The sequence below is a fragment of the Homo sapiens genome, chromosome 5 (genome assembly GCF_000001405.40).
Source record: "Homo sapiens chromosome 5, GRCh38.p14 Primary Assembly".
Lineage (NCBI taxonomy): Eukaryota > Metazoa > Chordata > Mammalia > Primates > Hominidae > Homo > Homo sapiens.
Genome location: NC_000005.10, coordinates 54,705,211 through 54,726,734, shown reverse-complemented (window position 1 = coordinate 54,726,734; position 21,524 = coordinate 54,705,211). Strand labels below are relative to the sequence as shown.

Below are 21,524 nucleotides of genomic sequence, written 5' to 3'. Positions count from 1 at the left end.
CCCGAGTAGCTGGGACCACAGATGTGCACCATCATGCCCAGCTACTTTTTTTGTATTTTTGGTAGAGACGGGGTTTCACCATGTTGCCTAGGCTGGTCTCAAACTCTTGAGCTCAAGCAGTCTGCCTGCCTTGGTCTCTCAAAGTGCTGGATTACAGGTGTGAGCCACCATGCCCAGCAGCAACCATAGCTCTTACGAGATTTGTTCCCTTGAGTTTCATCAACATTTTCAGATTTGTTAGCATCTGACATTGAAAACAAGAGTTTTCTAAAAATATTTGAAAGAGATTCATGACAAAGAAAGGATTTCCGAAATTCTTTATCTCTCATTTAACATACCAAGAATCACACCTGGACCACATTTCTCTATAACAAGGAATAAGCTTTTGGATCAGGTAAATGTTCTGCCATGATGGCCAGGCCATGAGGTGTGTTCCCTGAATAGAAGGAGGATTTCATGTGCAGGAAGCAGGAAAAGTCTATCCCTTTTATCTCCAGGAGACAATGAAAAGAAGGGAGACAGAGGTAGGTAAAGAAGGCTGTCAGACATGTGAGTCCTGAATTCCCTTTGATGAGCTTTAATTTTACTTCCTGCTAGAAATCTGCAAGAGGCATCTGTGCAATGGACATCATGCCAACAAGGCACAGCTCAGCTAAGAGAGCAGCAGGCTAGACAGAGGATCTGGATTACACTCCTGAGTCTCTCCTGATTTCTGTATGGCATAAACACCAAGAGAGAGCCAGGGGGTCATCCTTAGGGCCATCATGGTTGGAGTGAGATAATCACATAATAAAGGCTGGGGAAGAACAATTTGGTCTGGGGCTCTGGAAGGACATAACAAAGACTCAGAGAAGTCTGCCCTGCAAAGTTAACAGAAAGTAGCCACAGGATCCTGACTCAACTGAGAAAGAATTCAGCAGCTGCCCACTGCAAAGCAGACTCCCTACAGGCAAGGCCACCTAGGATTGGGAGGACATCAGGTGGGCTTGAGACTCTTTTACTCCAGTGTTTTTCCTTTCATATCCTAGACACTACGTAGGAGAAAGAAAAGTTAATATTAATAACAGCAATTATTCCAACAGTACAGGTATTACTCAGAGGTTATTTACATTGTAGCAGTAGAGAAAGGTTTACCTGGATTCGGCATTGAGTCATCCTCTTTGGTATATCCCAACAAACAAGCAAGGGAAGCATCATGAGAAAGATTAGGCCCAGAGGTATATCTTCTCTGCACATCTGAATTGTTATGTGAGTAAATTTTGCAAGCCCATCACACAATATTTCCTAAGCAATATGAGATAATAAAAATTTATCTGTTGAAAGCTTCATGTATGCCAAGCACTAGGCTAGGAACTGTAGACTGAATGAAGGATGAGGCGTAGTGTAGTCTTTGCCTTCAAGAAGCTCATGGTTTAATAGGAGAGCCATCTCAGGTCATTAAAATGATCCGTTTACTTGTCTAAGTATTATAGTTAAAGCAAGCACAAGAGGATGATAGGAGAGCCATCTACCAAATCTATCAAGATTATGGTCTAGAAATGTCCAATGAGCATCATACATGACTAAAAAGGTGCTGCTAGTAGCTATCAGACTTCAGAAGTTTAGTGGCTTAAAGAAAAGAGCTATTCTTTCTCATGAAAGAGTCATGGAGGGTCTTCTGGTAGGAGGAGCAGCTATCCTCTCCTTCATTCAGGGACCCAGGCTGAGGGTTGCTCTGTCATATTCAACATGTGGATCTCAAAGTCACCTTGAGCATCCACCTTACAGTCAGCCAACAGTGAGAGGGTTTTATGGACACACATAACTACAAGGGAAGTTGGGGGAGTTAAGCTGGTCAAGGGGGAGACAGGATTTTGTAGGACATCTGTAATGTTCCACAAATGTAAGCTTCACTGACTGTAGTGGAATGGCTTGTTGAAGATTAAAAACTGATGGCTTTTGTTTCGAACTGTGGAAGTGAGGCATGGAAGATCTTTCAGTAGCATTTAGACAGTGACTCGAGACATTCTTCTTCCATCTCTTGCCACAAAGGTGGGGTTATAAACAGATCTATTGTTTTTGTAGGTGAGAGCTCTCTTGAAGGAAATCATATTTTATTGTCCAAAAAGAAGGTAGGGGTTAACATTTTAGAGTTTAGAAGGCCAGAAAGAAAAGAAGCTTCCAGGTTTGTACTCAGATCCATTGCACCCACAGCAACAACCTGTAAACAGGCCATTTTGTGTTTTCTTCAGCAGAAAGGCAATCCAGGTCTCTTGTCCTGGAAAGCATTTAGAATGAGGCATTTGTGCTTTAGGGCATAGCGAAAGAGGTATCAGCATTCTGAGGAATGAGAAGGGGCAGGAAGTTTGTTGGGTGCTCAGCGTGAGAGCCGGTCTTGGGATCCTTCTGTGGCTCTAGTGGGTCCAGGGCTGGTGGACTGAGGAAAGGACTGTAGTGAGTGGACACTGCATGGTGCCTGTGGAGTGACTGGACCAGACCATCAGTCACAACCTTGTGTTTCAGGAGGGCTCTTGAATGACAGGCTGCTGATCTGTAGTTGAATGGAGCCTTCCTCTTCTCTGAAGTTCAGGGACCCTATCCAGTAGTGTCTTTTGGAGATACCATCCATGAATGTCTCAGCCCCTGTGATATGGCATTGCTCAGCAACACCCCTGTGCTGGAGGGACACTCTTTCAGAATGGCTGCACTTGCTACTCCACGGGCAAAGAGCCAAGTGAATGCCTCCATGTACATCTAATCTCTCAAGTGGAAAAGCCAGTAGCAATTTTCTGCGGAGCTTTCTTCCTCATCTTCTACTTCTATTCTGTTACCAAATTATGAGAATTTTACCTCTTAAGTATTGCTTGACACTCTTAACTTTTTCCAACTTTGGTGTCACCACATAAGCTTAAATCATGATCATCCTTCTCACCTATACTTCTCCCATGGACTCTTTAGGTCGACTATTCCTTGCTCTTCCCTCCAACACAATCTGTTGCCACTGTATTCAAAGTTGCTGTCTTCCCATAGTTACCTGAATTATAGCTAAAACCCCTTAGTATTCCCCATGAAATTTGACTTTGTCTAGAAAGCCCAACTATCTTTTCTCCAGCCCATCATGGACCACATCCCTCACTCATATTGGCTTCATCCTATCACATTGGCCTTCTTCCAGGTCCTGGAGAAACTAGCCCTGCTCCTTCCCACCTTTGGACCTTTGCAAAGGCCATGCACTGGGCCTGGGGTGCTTTTTCACAGTCTGCCTGGGCAGAATTTGCTCCCAATCATCCTCCAGTTCTCAGATACATCAGGGTGACCCCTGACTCCTCCTAAGACTGGATCAAGTGCCTACTCCTTACTACATGGTATGATAAAACTTTTCTTCATAGCACTAGGTATAAAATGAGCCCAGTGGTCATTTTATACCTAATCATATAACATTTGATTAACACCCATGTTCTGCTGTAGACTGTAAGAATTATGAAGCCAGGAACTGTGCAATTTTTTTTCCCTCCCTTCCTTCCTTCCTTCCTTCCTTCCTTCCTTCCTTTCCTTTTGCATCTTAGACCACACTATCTTGTTCACATTTTACCTCTAATGCCTGACACACAGACGTTTCTCAATAAATTCTTGTTTAATGTGCAAGAAAACAAACTGTAATAACAGCAGGGACATGCTTTAAAATTTTCAAAACTGCGCTGGGCACAGTGACTCATGCCTGTAATTTAAGCACTTTGGGAGGCTGAAGCAAGGGGATCGCCTGAGCCCAGGGGTTCTAGACCAGCCTGGGAGACACGGCGAAACCCCGTCTCTACAAAAACAAAAACAAACACAAACAAAAGACAAAAAAAATAGCTGAGCATGGTGGAATGTGCCTGTAATCCCAGCTGCTTGAGTGGCTGAGGCAGGAGAATTGCTTGAGCCTGGGAGCTTGAGGCTGCACTGGGCCATGATCATGCCACTGTGCTCCTGGGCAACAGAGTGAGACCCTGTCTCAAAATAAATATAATATAATATAATATAAAATGAATTTCAAAGCCTTTTCATATACATGATCTCACTTGACAAATGAGAGGGAAAGGGGGAGTTAGAGTCCCTTCTCAGCATGCTGCTCTGCCTGCCTTACATAGAATCTGCTATCAGAGGAAGAGCTTTAAACAAGCTTTTGGGGCCAGGGTATAGTGTGGGATGTGATGAATGGTGCCTTGTAAGATGCTTCCTGTGAAGCTTGCCCATGGGAATGAGTTATATGTATAATATATATACATTTGTATGAACTCTGCACAAAATACGAGGTAAGATGGAAAATGGCTGGAAAAGTGCCAAAGAGACGTGGGAAGTTTGTAGAAAGGTGATAGTCAGGAAAGAATAAGTAGTTAAAATAAGCTAATGTGTGGCTAGAGAGGAAATAATATTTAGAGGTAGGCTAGATAAAACATCATGGCTAGAAAGAAAACAGGAAGAATATTACTGAAGAAAATTGGCCAAGAAAAAAATGCAAACTCTAAAAGGTCAGAGAGCCATTTGAAAGAAGGGGGTTGAGAGATCAAGGCCTACGCCAGTGCCTTCCAGGCAGCCGCCCTTTTGAGTAGAATTGATTTGTGGATATATTTAGGTGCCTGGTTGAAAGACAAAACACAGCACTCAGATACTTTCTCTCATCTTATTTCATCTTGACGTTGGTCATTATTGCTAAGGAGACAGGGACATGGAAAACCACTTAGGGAAAGTAAAGACAGAGATTTTAAGGTGAAAAATAATTTGGTCATAGGACCCTTTAACCTTCCTTTCTCAGGTCTCTGAGAATAAAAAAATGGTCTTTGGCATGCTAACCTTTAGCTTTGTACATTTGATTCTGCAACCTAGAGGGAGAAAGAGAGAGAGAGAGCACATGATTGGATGGTAGAAATGGGTTCCATACTTCCCCTTTGGAGAGAATTTTTTCTTTGGCCCTGCCATTCACTTCAATATTGTCCTCACCTTCTTAACTCTAAATTCCTGTACTTATGTCTCCTCAGTCTCACCTCTCATTCACCCTTTAATCCCTTCATTCTCCTAAAATTGCTCTTTGTCATTCCAGAATATGTTATTTGGAGTCTTTTACTGCATCTAGCACTTTCTGCATGCATTTTCTATCATTTGTGTATACACTTCATTTGTTGTGTATATAGTAGATTATAGGTACCCAGAGGCACAAATCCTTATCTACGGGGATGTATCATGTTCATTTCTGACTCTGTAAGGCACTTGCTCAATGTCTTATATATAGTAGGATGTCAATAAATATTTATTGCTCTGAATGGCTAAAACCACATTACCTTAAACTATTCAGGGGCATATGCCTCCTGTTTTTCCTTCTATTTCAAATATGTCACAGGAAGAAAAAAACTGCCTTATCCGGTATAATCTTCCAAGGATTTTATAAAAATTCAAAACACATACTGTATCCAACTCATGAACTCATCAACTTAGCCTGCATCCAAGGATTTTCAGGAGACTGGAAAAAAGGAAACACACTAAAATAGAATATACTTTTTTATGTTTGATGTTTTTCTTCCTTGATTTTTCTGGGAATATTTCTAGATAAAAGAGTATACTTTTCATACATAAGTGTTATATATATATGTTTTGTGTGTGTGTGTGTGTCTGTGTGTTATGAGGTATACTTCATTGAAAAACTGAAGGCCAGGGACTGCTTTTGAAAGCCACAATGTGGCCATGTGGCTCCTTAAGACTTACGACCAGTAATGGAGATGGTGAAGATAAACTCCTTCAGCTTTGGGATCATGATGCCACGGCTTTGTTCTGGCTGGCTGTCCTCTATAGATGTCTACCAGTTCCTATTAGCTGATTACAGAGGTACACATTGGCAAGGCATGTATATGCACACATGTGCAATACAGAGGTCTACCTGGATTCTGCCACCCTGGGCTTCTCATATCCTCATTACTAGAGCCTGGAAGGGCACATTGGAGATCTGGCTCTGGCTTGGATCCCTTAGGACTTCACGTCTTGGTGGCCTATCTCATCTGCAGGGAGAAGACATGGGAGGCTGTGGTGACCACCATTAGGGTCAGCTCGCAGGGTGCTTTCACTACTCTGTCAGTCAATCAGCAGTCAACTAATCTTTATTGAGCACCTACTATATGTAATGCATGAATGGCGCTGCTCTAGGCAGGGGAGATACAAATTCTTCAGATACCTGTGACTCAGCTCTGGCCTCAGAGGAGGTGGGGGGTCCCTCCTTCATCCTTCCCGTCTCATCATGGGTCACAGAGAGTCCCCAGCACTATCTTTCCTGTCTTGTTATAATAGTCTTAGAGTACCTCTTCATTTTACAGCTAAACTAGTAATGATCCTAGGATTACCAAATTTACAACAAAATTCACTCTTGTAATCTAACAGCTTGCCAAAATATGGGTGATTTTTTAGATTTTGAAGTGGAAAAAGGAGGAAGTAGAGATGGGGAGACAACTTACCATTCGTTTTGACAAAGAGGAAAATTAAAATGAAGAGATTCACCCAGGCCCACTGTTTTTTCCATGTCCTTGTGTGAAAGTGTAGAAAGGTTTGATGGGACAGAAAGAACACTCAGATTGGGTGTGCTTACTCATGCCTTCAACAACATTCTATGTGCTGGGCCCTCTGCCAGGGCTTAGAAATATAACAGTCAATAAGACAGGCACAGTGTGTCAGGACACCAGGGTTTTGATTTGACTCTTGCCAAATGAATTTTGTGACCCTGAGAAGACACTTCACTTTTCTTGCTCTCAGTGTCCACATCTGTAAGCTGAGACTGACACTGGAGGTGGCCAACATTCTCTAACTTTTTCCTAGCTCCGCCTGGAACCTCTAGGACCAGGGACACAAACTCTTATCTTGGAAATGGAGGTACTGGTGCCGGTCACTTTTCCATGAAGGGCTGGGGAGATGCCTCTGGGGTCCAGTCCCCTCTAGACAGTGAGCATCCAGATTCCTGAGGATCAAGGGGAGGTGTGATGATCTCCATTGTCCTGGGCCAGGAAATGCCAAACAGGAGTTTCACATTCAGCTCCTTCTCTGGACTACCCTGGGAAGGAGCCCACCTCCTGCTGCTCAGCCCAGCGGGTGCTCTGTGCTGACTCTCACACGGGCTGTCAGCACATTGACTGCATTCCTCTGCATTCTCCCGGCTTCAGGGTTGTCAGCCAATTAAAAGAGCAATTCTGACACTGGATGAAAAGGGAAGGGAGAGCTATGTTTGGTGCAAAGTGTGGGCAGGAGGCACTGCTGGTGCTGGAGGAGTCCAGGCTGGATGCAGAAGCTGCTCCTCCCTCCTGTGGAGGAGGACAGCCCTGCCCAGCCCACCAAGCTCATCCCTGTCCCCACAGCGGACAGCTGGCCCCAACCCCTGGAAGATCCTGCCGCTGTGGTCTGTGCAGAATTTAATTACACCTTTGGGAGGTGTTTTTTGTCCCCCTGCACATCACCAGGAAGAAACTATGACTTGCAAATTCAGGGTTCTTAACCTTTTTTTGTGCCCTTTGGCTGTCTGGTAAAGCCTATGGATCCCCTCTCAGAAGAATGTTTTTAAATGCAAAAATTTAAATACATACATAGAATTATAAAGGACATAAAGGACACCAGTCATATTAAAATCAATAAACAAAATATTTTAGTGATAAAGTGATAGAATCACAGGTACTGCTAATACTACAGTGTTTGCTGCCTATGGTGTTATTTATTGCTGCATAACACAACTTAGCAACTCAAAAATAACAAATATCACACTCAGTTTCTAAGGGTTGGGAATCTAGGAGGGGCTTAGCTGGGCGTTTTTCCTCTGAGTCTCCCATGAGGTTGAAGTCAAGTTGTTGGCCAGGACTCCAGCCATCTGAAGGCGGGAAGATTGACTTCCAACTTCCAAGCTCACTCATGTGGCTGTTGGCTGGTCTCACATTCTCACTGGCTCTTGGCTGGATGCCTTAGTTCCTTGTCACATGTCAAGACATGGCAGCTGGCTTCCCTTAGAGTGAGTGATGGAGAAAAAGAACAAGAGTCCCAGTCAGAAGCTGCACCCTTTCATAACCTAATCTCGGAAGTAACAGCCATCACTCCTCCTGTGCCGTATGTCACAGGACCAATGTGGGGCTCCAAGGGAGGGACTGCACGGGTGTGTGAACATCAGGAGGGGGGTCCCTGGAGCCACATGGGAAGCCAACTATCACACCTACATTCATGACAGAGGGACAGGCTAAATTTTCATTATAGCTTAGTAAAAATAGAGACATAAATTTTTTTCTCATCCAGTTTCCTGGAACCTGAGATCTAGCCACAGACCCCAAGTTAAGAATCCCTGATAGATTGAAAGCATTTTTGTTTCCAGGCAATTTCTAGTCTTTTTATTCATGACTTTTTTTAGCTTTTTTGAGGTACAATAAAAAAATTGAACACATTTAAGGTGTACAATTTGGTGTTTTGATATATGTATGTATTGTGGAATGATAGCCAGAATTTATTGAGGTATAATTAAAACTTGTACACATTTAAGGTATACAACTTGGTGTTTTGATTTACACATGTATTGTAAAATGACAGCCACAGTCAAGCTAACTAACGTATCTTCACCTCACACAATTTACCCATAGTCACATTGACGTATGTTAGATGTCCAGAACTTACTCATCTTGCAAAACTGAAACTTTATACCCTTTGATCAATGTCTCCACATTTCTTCCTCCCCGCCAGCCCCTGGTAACCGTCATTCTACTCTCCACTTCTATGAGTTTGACTATTTTAGATTCTACATATAAGTGAGATCCTGAAATATTTGTCCTTCTGTGTTTGGCTTATTTTACTTAGTATCATATCCTTCAGATTCATCCATGTTGTTGCAAACGGCAGGATCTCCTTCTTTTTTTAGGCTGAATGATATTCTGTTTTGTATATGTATACATATATACCACATTTTTAAAAATCACTTATCTATTGTAGACATTTAGGTTGTTTCTATATCTTGGGTATTGTGAATAATGCTTCATTGCACATTGGAGTATTCATATCTCTTCAGGGTACTGATTTCATTTCCTTTGCATATATACCCAGAAATGAGACTGCTAAGTCATATGGTAGTTTTATTTTTAACTTTTTGGGGAACCTCCATACTGTTTTCCGTAATAGCTATACCAATTTACATTTCCACCAAGAGTGTACAAGGGTTTCCTTTTCACCACATCCTCACCAACACATGCTATCTTTTGTCTTTTTGATAATAGCCGTTCTAACAGGTGAGAGGTAATATTATATTGTGATTTTAATTTGCATTTTCCTGATTATTAGTGATGTTGAGCACCTTTTTATACACCTATCAGCCGTTTGTATATCTTCTCTGATAAATGTCTATGTCCTTTGCCCATTTTTTATTGGGTTGTTTGATTTTGCCATTAAGTTGTTATGAATTCCTTATATATTTTGGATGTTAAACCCTCATCTGATACGTGGTTTGCAAATATTTTCTCCCACTTCGTAGGTTACCTTTCACTTTGTTGATTGTTTCCTTTGCTGTACAGAGGCTTTTTAGTTTGATAGAATCCCATTTTTCTATTTTTGCTTTTGTTGCCTGTGCTTTTTGGGGTTATATCCAAGAAAAATCATTGCCCAAACAAAGATCAAAAAGCTTTTTCCCTATGTTTTATTCTAGTAGTCTTTCTGATTTTAGATCTTACTTTTAAGTCTTTATTTTGAGTTGATTTTTGTATATAGTGTGAGATAAGGGTCCAATTTCATTCTTCTGCATGTGGATATCCAGTTTTCCCAATACCATTTGTTGAAGAGACAATCTTTTCCCCGTTGTGTTTTCTTGGCACCTTTGTGAAAGATCAGTTAATGAGTGTATTTATTTCTGGGCTCTCTATTCTGTTCTATTGGCTTATATGTCTGTTTTATGCCAGTGTCATGCTGTTTTGATTGTTATAGCTTTGTAATATATTTTGAAATCTAGACAGCTGTTGCTTCCAACTTGGCTCTTCTTACTCAACATTGCTTGGACTATTCAGAGGTTTTTGTGATTTCATATAAATTTTAGAATATTTTTTCTATTTCTATAAAGAATGCCTTTGGAATTTTAATAGAAATGTCATTGAATCTGTAGATCACTTTGGGTAGTATGGATATTTTAACAATATTCTTTTGATCCATGAAAACAAGATTTCTTTCTATTTATCTGTGTCTTCTTTAATTTCTTCATCAATGTATTATAATTTTCAGTGTATAAGCTGGCCCTAGGGGAGCGGAGTTACTCAGGTAAAATGCTTTCTATACTTTTCTATATGGCTGTCCTCAGTTTTTGTGCTCCACTGGGTGGCTGTAGCTTCTTAACCTCACTCCGGAGCTCTCCCAGTGCTCTTTCAGTCCCTGGATAATTGCCAAATTGTTGTTTATTTGGTGGGGGAGGAGGGTCAGAGCCTCCTAGTCCACCATCTTGCTGATGTCACTCCTTAGACAATTTCTGTGTCTAAAGAGAAATGCTGTAGGATAATAAATATTACAGACCATCCTCTACTCATCAAAGCTGCAGGGCCAGTGCACAGGCCTGAAAAGCTTCCCTTTGATTAGTTGAGCTCAGGGTTGCTGACACTCTTAGCCTTGCACAGAGCCTAATGTATGGAAGATGGTGTATATTTATGGGATGAAGAGATCTTATTGATTAGTGCATATCAGATCAAAATATGTTAAAGTCAGGCAAATTGCTGGAGACCATCAGTAGATTACTTTTTACAGAGAGACTATACATGCCTTGCTCCTGCCTGGAAAACTCTGCCTGTTCTGTTCCCTGAGCTTGGAATGCTCTTCTTCCAGATATTGCTCTTTTCCTGCCTTCCTACATTTCTTTACTCAACTACCACTTTCTTGGCAAGGTCTCCAATCTGCTTCTTCTATAATAGGAGTTTCTCAGATAGCCCTGAAAGATCCTCATCCCCTGGTCTTTGTGTCCTTCTATAGTCTTGTCCTTGAGTGTGGGAGGGACCTAGTGACCAACTCCTAAGGAAAAGAAAATAGCAAGAGGGATGGCATGTCACTTCCAAGATTAGGTAACAAAGAGTCTGGCTTATTTCCAGCTTGCCTTCCCTTCCTCTCTCACTTGCTCTCTTTGGTGAAGCCAGCTGCCATGTTGTGAACTGCCCTAGAGAAGCTGATGTGGCCAGGATAGGAGGGAGGGCTCTGCCAACCAGCTGATAAAGAGCTGAGAACCTCGGTCCAACAAACTTCCAGAAATTGATTCCTTGCCAACAACCATGTGAGTGATCTTGGAGGTGGATCCTCCCCTGTTCAAACCCTGAGATGACTGCAAGCCTGGCCAGCACCTTGATTACAACCTTGTGAGACCTGAGACCCTGGCCCAGCCTGTGACTTCCTGAGCCAGAGGACCCTGGGCACACCTAAACTGTGCCTGGATTTCTGAGTCATGGAAACTGTGATCATAAATGTTTCTTGTTTTAAGCCGCTCATATTTGGGGTAGTTTGTTATTCAGCAAGAGGTAACTAACACATTATCAACAATTATAACATCTCACTTTCACCTGGTATTTCCTATCCTTCACTTCCACTACACGCCATTGTTCCTCCTTACCACTTTTCACTATATAACACATATTTTTTACTTACATATGTTGTTGTCTGTTTCCCCCAATAGAATGTGAGTTCTATGAGGGCAGGCATTTTTGGCTAGAAGTATACCTAGAACAGTGGTTGGTGCACATTCAGTGCTCAATAAATACTTGCTGAATAAATGAAGGATGTGAAAATGGGAATGGGAGGAGCATGCCTAGAGTTCCGGTGGCATTTGAGAGAGCAGCCCCTTAGATGTGCTATCTAGACACATTCGACTCACCCTTCCCACCACTGTGAGATTATTCTCCATATCCCTGCCCTACCTCCTATACTTCCCTTGACCTGGGCAAGCAGGGCCCCTGTCCCAGACCCCGTACCTCATCAGGGATCTCATCTTGGAGTGTCTTCCTCATATTTGTCTAAATCCTCTTCCAGCATCTGAGAACAGCCTAGATTGGTAGTGCCTCTGTTGGGGTGCCCCAAGTCCAGACTGCCTCCCATGTAGACCCAGTCGTCATTGCTCTTGTTCAAGTGCTCTCCTGCCACCACCCCCTCAGAACCCTGACTACCCCCAGTGAGAATCATTACAGCAAGGCACTGTTAGTGACAAGAATGTGCTGGCCAGGAGAGTAACAACAACAATAATAATAATGAAGGTTATAGATTGAAGGAGAACTAATAAAATAAATTTTAGTTGAATCCTGGTTTGAAAAAAATCACATCCACAATGCTCTTCCTTATATTTTTCCCAGCTGTAAAACAAAGGCCTCATCAAATTGATGAGTCAGGAAAGATATAAAGGACATAGCCCTCTGTCCCCAGTTTGCTGGGGGCAGGAATTTTTGTCAATTTCAAACAAATCCACAGTTGATCGGTTTTCCTAGAGCCTATATACTTGTCAACATGAATGGGCTTCTACATGATTTAAGCCACTTCACAACAACAAAAGAAGGATGTTTCTTCCTTTTTCATTATCTAAGCCTTTAAAAATAGTCGAGATAAGCCTTCAGCAGGAATGCAGTTTACATACGTGAGGCCTCTGCCAAGGGGTGACTTTTGCCTTATTTTGTTCTTGGCTCTTAGTCATCCCAGCCCTAATGTAGCACAGGATCTGGTTCTAAACAGCCTGGGTTGAAAATGCAACTCTAACCCTTAGGTGTATGACCTTGAACATGGCACTTCTCAGTTTTATCATTTGTAAAATGGTGTATCAGTTCATTTTCATGCTGCCGATAAAGACATACCTGAGACTGGGCAATTTAGAAAAGAAAGAGGTTTAATTGGACTCACAGTTCCACATAGCTAGGGAGGCCTCACAATCATAGCAGAAGGCAAGAAGGAGCAAACCACATCTTATATGAATGGCAGAAGGCAAAGGAAGAGCTTGTGCAAACCATCAGATCTCGTAACATTCACTCACTAGCATGAGAACAGTGCAGGAAAGATCTGCCCCCATAATTCAATCACCTCCCACTGGGTTCCTCCCATGGCATGTGGGAACTGTGGGAGTTACAATTCAAGATGAGATTTGGGTGGGGACACAGGCAAACCATATCATTCTGCCCTTTGACCCTCCCAAATCTCATGTCCTCACATTTCAAAACCAATCATGCCTTCCTAACTGTGCCCCAAAGTCTTAACTCATTTCAGCATTAACTCAATAGTCCACAGTTCAATGTCTCATCTGAGACAGGCAAGTCCTTTCCACATAGGAGCCAGTAAAATCAAAAGCAACGTAGTTACTTCCTAGGTACAATGGGGATGCAGGCATTGGGCAAATACAGCCATTCCAAATGGGATAAATTGGCCAAAACAAAGGGGCTTCAGGCCCCATTCAAGTCCAAAATCCAACAGGGCAGTCAAATCTTAAAGCTCCAAAATGATCTCCTTTGACTCCATGACTCACATCCAGGTCATGCTCATGCAAGTGGTGGGTTCCCATGGTCTTGGGCAGCTCTGCCCCTGTGGCTTTGTAGGATGCAACCTCCCTCCAGGCTGCTTTCATGGGCTGGTGTTGAGTGTCTATGGCTTTTCCTGGTGCACGGTGCAAGCTGTCAGTGGATCTACCATTCTGGGGTCTGAAGGAAAATGGCCCTCTTCTCACAGCTTCACTAGGCAGTGCCCCAGTAGGGACTCTGTGTGGGGGCTCTGACCCCACATTTCCCTTCCATACTATGCTAGCAGAGGTTCTCCATGAGAGCCCTACCCCTGTAGCAAACTTCTGCCTGGACATCCAGGCATTTCCATATATCCTCTGAAATCTAGGCAGAGGTTCCCAAACCCCAATTCTTAACTTCTGTGCACTGGCAGGCTCAACACCACATGGAAGCTGCCAAACCTTGAGGTTTGCACCCTCTGAAGCCACAGTCTGAGTTCTATGTTGGCCCCTTTCAGCCACAGCTGGAGCAGCTGGGATGCAGAGCACCAAGTCCCTAGGCTGCACACAGCACGGGGACCCTGGGCCCATTCCCTGAAACCACCTTTTCCTCGTAGGCCTCTGGGTCTGTGATGGAATGGGCTGCTATGAAGACCTCTGACATGCCCTGGATACATTTTCCCCATTGTCTTGCAACTTAACATTCGACTCCTTGTTACTTATGAAAACTTTTGCAGCCAGCTTGAATTTCTCCTCAGAAAATGGGATTTCTTTTCTATCATATTGTCAGCCTGCATATTTTCCAAACTTTTATGCTCTGCTTCCCTTATAAAACTGAATGCCTTTAATAGCACTCAAGTCACCTCTTGAATTGCTTTGCTGCTTAGAAATTTCTTCTGCCAGATACTCTAAATCATCTTTCTCTAGTTCAAAGTTCCACAAATCTCTAGGGCAGGGGCAAAATGCTGCCAGTCTCTTTGCTAAAACATTGCTCTAGTTCCCAACAAGTGCCTCATTTCCATCAGAGATCACCTCAGCCTGGACCCTGTGGCCACATCGCTATCAGCATTTTGGTCAAAGCCAATCAACAAGTCTCTAGGAAGTTCCAAACTTTCCCACATTTTCCTGTCTTCTTTTGAGCCCTCCAAACTGTTCCAACCTCTGCCTGTTACCCAGTTCCAAAGTTGCTTCCACATTTTGGGGTATCTTTTCAGCAGTGCCCCACTCTACTGGTACCAATTTACTGTATTAGTCTGTTCTCATGCTGCTGACAAAGACATACCCAAGACTAGGCAATGTACAAAAGAAAGAGGTTTATTGGCCTTATAGTTCTATGTGGCTGGGGAGAGCTCACAATCATGGTGGAAGGTAAGGAAGAGCAAGTCTTGTCTTTCATGGATGGCAGCAGGCAAAGAGAGACATCTTGTGTAGGAAAGCTCCCATTTTTAAAACCATCAGATCTCATGAGACTCATTCACTATCATGAGAACAGCACGGGAAAGACCTGCCTCCATAATTCAATCACCTCCTACTGGGTTCCTCCCACAACATGTGGGAACTGCGGGAGTTACAATTCAAGATGAGATTTGGGTGGGAACACAGCCAAATCATATCAAATGGACACAATAATAGTGTGATAGGAAGAATAATGGCCCTTAAAGCTGCCCATGTCCTCATCTTCAGAGCTATGACTATGTCACCTTACCTGGAAAAAGAACTTTGTGTGTTTAAGGTTACATGCAGACTTTGTGTGTTTAAGGTTACATGCAGAGGTGAGAGATTAACTTAGATTATGTAGGTGAGCTAAATACATTCGCATGAGTTCTTAAAAGCAAAAAACATTTCCTAGGGGTGATCAAAGAGAAAGATGCTATGATAGCCAAAGGATTTTCTGGGTAATTGTGGAAAAGGACATAAATATCTCTGAAAACTTACTTCATTTGATTAAAAAATTATGTGAATTTTCTGGTGAAAAGACATCACCAGAAAGTACTGAAGAAGCCCTTCACAAACCTCAGAATTTTATATTAGCCACATTTTAAAAAAGTATTAAACATACTTTAATAATATATTTTATTTAATCCTATGTGTCTAAAAATAATCCCAGCTCTTTGGGAGGCTGAGGCGGGCATATCACGAGGTCAGGAGATCAAGACCATCCTGCCTGACACGGTGAAAACCCGTCTCTACTAAAAATACAAAAAATTAGCTGGGCATGGTGGCATGCACCTGTAGTCCCAGCTACTCAGGAGGCTGAGAGGCAGGAGAATCACTTGAACCCGGGAGGTGGAGGTTGCAGTGAGCCGAGGTTGTGCCACTGCACTCCAGCCTGGGTGACAGAGTGAGACTCCATCTCAAAAATAATTGAATAAATAAATAATAAATAAATAAATAAATAAATAATTCTAATGCATGATATATATATGAATTATTAGAGATATTTTATATTGTTTCATACTAAGTATTTGAAAGTATTGAGTGCTTTACACTGGCAGCTCATCTCAATTTGAACTAGTCACATTTCAAGTGCTCAATAGCCACAAGCGGCTGATGGCTACTGTGTTAAACAGTGCAGCTTACAGAGCATAAGTGGCCAAGTTTGTAGCTTTAAGACAGTTTTTTTTTTTTTTTTTTGAGAAGGAGTCTTGCTCTGTAGCCCAGGCTGGAGTGCAGTGGCGCGATCTCGGCTCACTGCAAGCTCCACCTCCCAGGTTCACGCCATTCTCCTGCCTCAGCCTCCCAAGTAGCTGGGACTACAGGCGCCCGCCACCATGCCCGGCTAATTTTTTTGTATTTTTAGTAGAGACGGGGTTTCACCGTGTTAGCCAGGATGGTTGCAATCTCCTGACCTCGTGATCCGCCCGCCTCGGCCTCCCAAAGTGCTGGGATTACAGGCGTGAGCCACCGTGCCCGGCCAAGACAGTTCTTAAGTGTAAGTAGATAACCAAGGATTACCAAACATTCGAGGAAAGTGTTTAATTTGAAATATAAAAACAAACAAATGTTGCGAGATAATTCCCTTTAGTCTTTCATATTTCTGCAAATCTTTCAAGCAGAGGCACAGAATGCTTTTCTAGGCTATCTTTTCAAGGGTCTTTGTACAGCAAACAGCCTTGAAAGAGACAGTATGACCTATCACAGCAAAGGGCAAATTCATTTCCTGCTCAGTATACTGTCTCACTCTGGAGCAAAAGTCAGATAAGCTCACTGTCCATTATAAAAGACTGGGGTCCCCTAAGCTTGGGGTTCCTCTCCTATAATCACCTACTGTGCATGAAGGCATTACCCAGGCTTCTTTGTGTTGCCCTGTGGGAACCGATGCTCGGGAAACTGATACAAATGCTGAAACTCTGGCTGTGGCTATTGCTGTGAATAACATAGTGTCTCTGACCCAGAAGTCTCATGCCTTCTTAAAGCATCCAAGCAACTGTAGTAGGCTAACTTGTTAGACTGCAAGTGGGCTAAAAGTCTTACACTCGTCATAATTCTTGACCAAAAAAAACAAAAAAACAAAAAAACATACAGGAAAAGACAAAAGCAGCTTAGAGAAAACGGAAACTGTAAAGGGATATAAAATTTTTTAAAAAATTAACTTGATCCTTAGAGAGATTTTGTAAAATTATTATATCCATGAAAGGAGAATGGGATGCCACAGAAATAGAATAATCATGGACTAAGAAAGAAATTTGAGGAGTTAAAATTGCGATGGCAGGAATGTAAAATGCATTAGAAAAGTTGGAAAATAAAATTGAGGAAAACAGGAAAGAAAGAAAAGAAAATTAGAAGATCCATCCAGGAGATCTAATATCTAAATAATAGGAGTTCCAGAATGAGTACAAAATTGAGGGAAAGAAATTAACAAAGAGAATAACTTAAGTAAATTTGAAACATGAGTTTTGAAGTTGAGTCCCAGTAATGCAAAGCCCATTGGATAAAAGTAGACCCACACCAAGGCATGTCATCATTAAATTTCAGAGCACTGGGAAAAAACAACATCTTGTCAGTTTCCAGAGAGACGTAAGACTTCCTGTATAAGGCCCAACAATTAGAATTGCTTTGGATCTCTAAACATCCTCAGTGGAAGTTAAAGGACAATAGAGAATCTGCCTTTAAAATTGTGAGAGCTCTCTTACCCAGCCAAACTGTCAATTTAATATGAGAGCAGCATACGAATACTTTCAAATATGCAAAGTCTTAAAAAGAGAGAAGTAAAAGGGACACATGGAATTATGATGAAGAGAGAGTCTCAAGATAACAATTGTGTACTAGGGTAGAAAGCAATCAGTCTGGAATAGAAAAATCAGAACAATTCCATCTGGAAAAGATGGTTTCGAGAAATTGAAATTGATAGAATATTTGATATATTTGAAAATATAAAGAGAACATTTAAACATTATGAGAGTATTTAGAGCTGAGGTTTGTGAAGAGCTCCAGAAGCACTTTTTGATGATATCTATTTACATATCTGTTCTAATTAATGATAACTGCATTGAAAACTAAGCAAATTATAAAATAAGACAACTAATCACTAACTTCTAGGAAAACAAAAAATGTACAAGACAGAAAAAGCAAGAGTATATATATATATAAAAACATGGTTCCATGGTGAGCAGTGTTTACATAGTCCTAATTATGTAAACACTGATTATTGATACATTCTACATTATCATATAAATATACTGTATCGAGACAATAAGGGGATGAGAAGTGGGCTTGTAGGAGGGGGTTGATGCCATAAAAAAAGTTAAATCTTGATTATTTAGTTTTAGCCATTATGGAGAATGAACTAGCAATATAAGCATGTTACTCAGAAATATGAAGGTAAGTATCAAAAATAAGAGTTAAAATTGCTGCGTGTGGTTGCCTCTGGGAGCTGTAATGGTCTGGGCATAGAGGATTGCTCTTGGTTTTGGTAATTAGTCTGTGGACTATATAACTAATACTATGTGCAGCTACAACTTTCATAAAATAAATACTAACTTTAGTAACACAAAAATAAAAAGAAGACACTGTGTGATTTTACGTTGTGTTTTGTCCCCTTTCTGCCACGATGACAGGAGGGCAGGTGGCTTAAAATGAATTGTCAGCTGCTGGGAGCCATGTGGGTCCTATGGAAGCTTCTCCAACAGCCTCAGGGCAGCAGCAGCAGCACCCAGAGTAGCTCTTGTTCCTCTACGAAACCTCCTCAAAAAGGTACCATGGCCATGAATAAAGCATTCAAGACAGTCACCTTCCAGGAGGGTCCCACGAGGAGAAATGAGGGGAAGAACACAAGAAAGGCTTTGTCTGACTACAGGGAACAATTCATTGGCAGAAATTGCCCTGAGATTGACTCCCCATTGCCTTGGGTCCCAAGGTCCTGGGAGAGAAAAGGTCAGTTCATTTTTTATTAACTCTTAAATGTCAGTGTCTTTATAATTAGTAATGTAACAAAATTACATGGGTGTAATACTTGGTGCCATGGGATCTTGGTTTTTCCCCCAGCTTGTGAGCTGGTTATCACAGTTCCATCAACCCGTGGGCTGTGGGAAGTTCTACCAGACTCTCAGCAAACAAAATGCTGTGTCCTAGACCCAGATGCGGCTCCTGTTCCCTGTCAATTTTACAATTAGCAGGGGAGGGAAGATGGAGACAAACCATTATAAAGCAGATTAGCTTTTGATCAGCGCTATGAAAATGCTCCTAATAACCAATACTATAAGAGTTGAGGAACAAAAGATCTCACTCCTTGCTGCATTAATTACAGAAGACATCATGGCTGAGGCAGACTCTTAGAGGCAAATGCAAATTTCCCATAGGCAAAAATGGTGGGAGATTTCAGCCAATAAGAATAGCTTGAGTCAAGACACAGATATTTGGAAAGACAAAATTCAGTTGGAATGCCAACTATGTGTCATTATCAATATCAGCCTCATACGGTGCTAAAGACCAAGCTTCCCCTTCTGTAAATCTACCCAGAATCACATATTAGTCTGTGGCAGGACCAAGATTCAAACCCTGGTCTACCTATGCAAAATCTGTGTGTTCCTACCATCCTGTGCTGCCTCTTATGTAAACATAACACAGTGTAAAGCTATCGGAAAAATAATTTTGGGCTCCCCCCAAGCCAGACCAGATAAAACTCAAGTGCAAGTAATTTATTTTGCAGTTGATTCCAGGAAACTTTAGTAAAGGAATGGGGAAAAGAGACAGAGAAGGAAAGAGAACTGATAAAGGGTTCTTTATTAAGAGAGTTGCCACTATAGCTAGAGCTCAGTCCAGCTGCGGAATTCAGGGATTCAGTGCACACAACCTGCTCCTCCTGGCTATACCTCCCCAAGTGGGTGAGGGGCCTGGGGTAATTATGTATTCCAGCTACTGACTGAAGGATGCTGAGGGGGGTGTTAATTCTCTAACACTTTAAGCAGCCTGCCATATGTGTGACAAAGTAAGCTCTGTGGCCCAGAGAAAAACCCCAGGCAAAAAAAAATGCAAGCACTGTAAGTTGGACAGACATATTGAAGTGGTGAGAGGAGATGGGTAGGGGATCAACGAAAGCTCCATGAAAGCAGGGACTGTATCTGTTCTATTTACCACTGTACATCCACTGCCTGACACATACAAGATGCTTACTAAATAGCTGTGGAAGAAAGGAAACGAGGGAAAGAGGGAAGAAAGGACAGAGGATTAGCAGAGTCAGGGCAACCACATTGCACATCTCCAGGACACTAGAGAAGAGGCCAGAAGGAAGAGCATAAAGGTCCTGAAAGATTTTGTTCAGTGTGCATGGAGGGCTTGTGAAAGTTTTGCAAGTTTGAAAGTCTGCAAGAACTTTGGAAAGTAGAGCAGAAATATGACATGACCACAGCAGAGTTTTAGGGAAATGAATCTACTACTCTTCTGTTCAGCAAATACTTACCAATCTTTTGGAGTCAAGAAGTGTTTCATTTTTAGTAAGGATGGGGCAAAAAGTAGAAGATCTACATTGCTGCAGAACATTTTTAAGTTATCTCAATTGTTCATGGAGGAGAACAGCTGCCGAATATTGTCAGCTTTCTATCTATTTCTTAGAGCTGGTGTGAAGGTGTGAAGAGTAGCACTTACCAAGAGACTGGGTACTGTGAGGACAGAGACTGGCAGGGCCCTCTGATGCAAAGATCAAAGAGGAGGCAACAAGGAGCAAGTCCCAGGTGATCTGAGGGTTGTCTCTGGCCTAACAGCTGGTACATCTCAGAGTCACACTTTTTTCCCTCAAGTTGTAAAACTGGAAGAGGAGAAAACAGGAGGTGACACTTTAGGAAATATTGGGAATAGAATGAGTGTGAACTCCACAAGGGGATGGAGTCTACATGGGGATATTTAATTTTGTTATATCACCTCCCTAATAGGCAATTCACTTAGAGCCCCCGGTGAACTGCAAGTCCCAAATCCCTTCTCCACACTTCAAAAATCCCAAAACTCTAAGCACTGATTTACTTTTATAAATTTGCACAAATTCATTTGACATCAAAACTTGACCTTGCTGTGAATTCATTCATAGTCTTCCTTTTCTTCTCCCACTTTGGGTGAGTACTCATTTTCCTCTAGAAAATTTTGCGGCTCTGAATTCCAAAACACATGTGGCCCCCAAGGGTATCAAACAAGGGATTGTGAACCTGTAATTAAACATGAAGTATTTGGCTTTTTTGCCTGTAAATAGGCAAAAAAGTTTTTTTGATGTTGAAAGGCAAGTCATGGAGCATCTGTTTTACTGATGTTGATTATACCAAATGTGGCATACTCCTGGCACTTGGCAGCAGTAGGGACATCTCCTGACCAGGGAGGCTCCTCAATGGCTGCAGTGATGACAATGATGATATGGTTTGGGAGCCAGCATTTTCCCGATCTTAAGAAAGGTAGACAACTTCTTGGAGGCCTAGTCTTGGGGTAGAGTTTTGGGAGTCACTATTGGAAGTACAACCTGAAATTTATTCTCAAGCCTCCATTTTACACCCTGTAATAAATAATTTCTTGCTCGAACTAGCTAGAATAGAGTCTGACTTGTGCAACTGAGCCTGAAATGGTATCCCAGCCACACAGCAACACCGATCCAACCGTGCTA

At 42.0% G+C, this 21,524-nt stretch overlaps 2 long non-coding RNA genes across 3 annotated transcripts in view; one reads left to right on the top strand and one right to left on the bottom strand.

The window, feature by feature from the left end:
* Window positions 1-21,524, top strand: part of LINC02998 (long intergenic non-protein coding RNA 2998) — an 84,101-nt gene that overhangs the window by 17,524 nt on the left and 45,053 nt on the right. The gene's annotated exons all lie outside the window — the stretch shown is intronic.
* The window catches only part of LOC105378969 (uncharacterized), a 45,510-nt gene that overhangs the window by 10,732 nt on the left and 13,254 nt on the right, over window positions 1-21,524 (bottom strand). For both annotated transcript variants that reach the window (XR_948330.3, XR_007058769.1), the window contains exon 2: window positions 20,528-20,687. This is a non-coding gene — a long non-coding RNA (uncharacterized LOC105378969). The remainder of the gene's footprint in view (window positions 1-20,527; window positions 20,688-21,524) is intronic.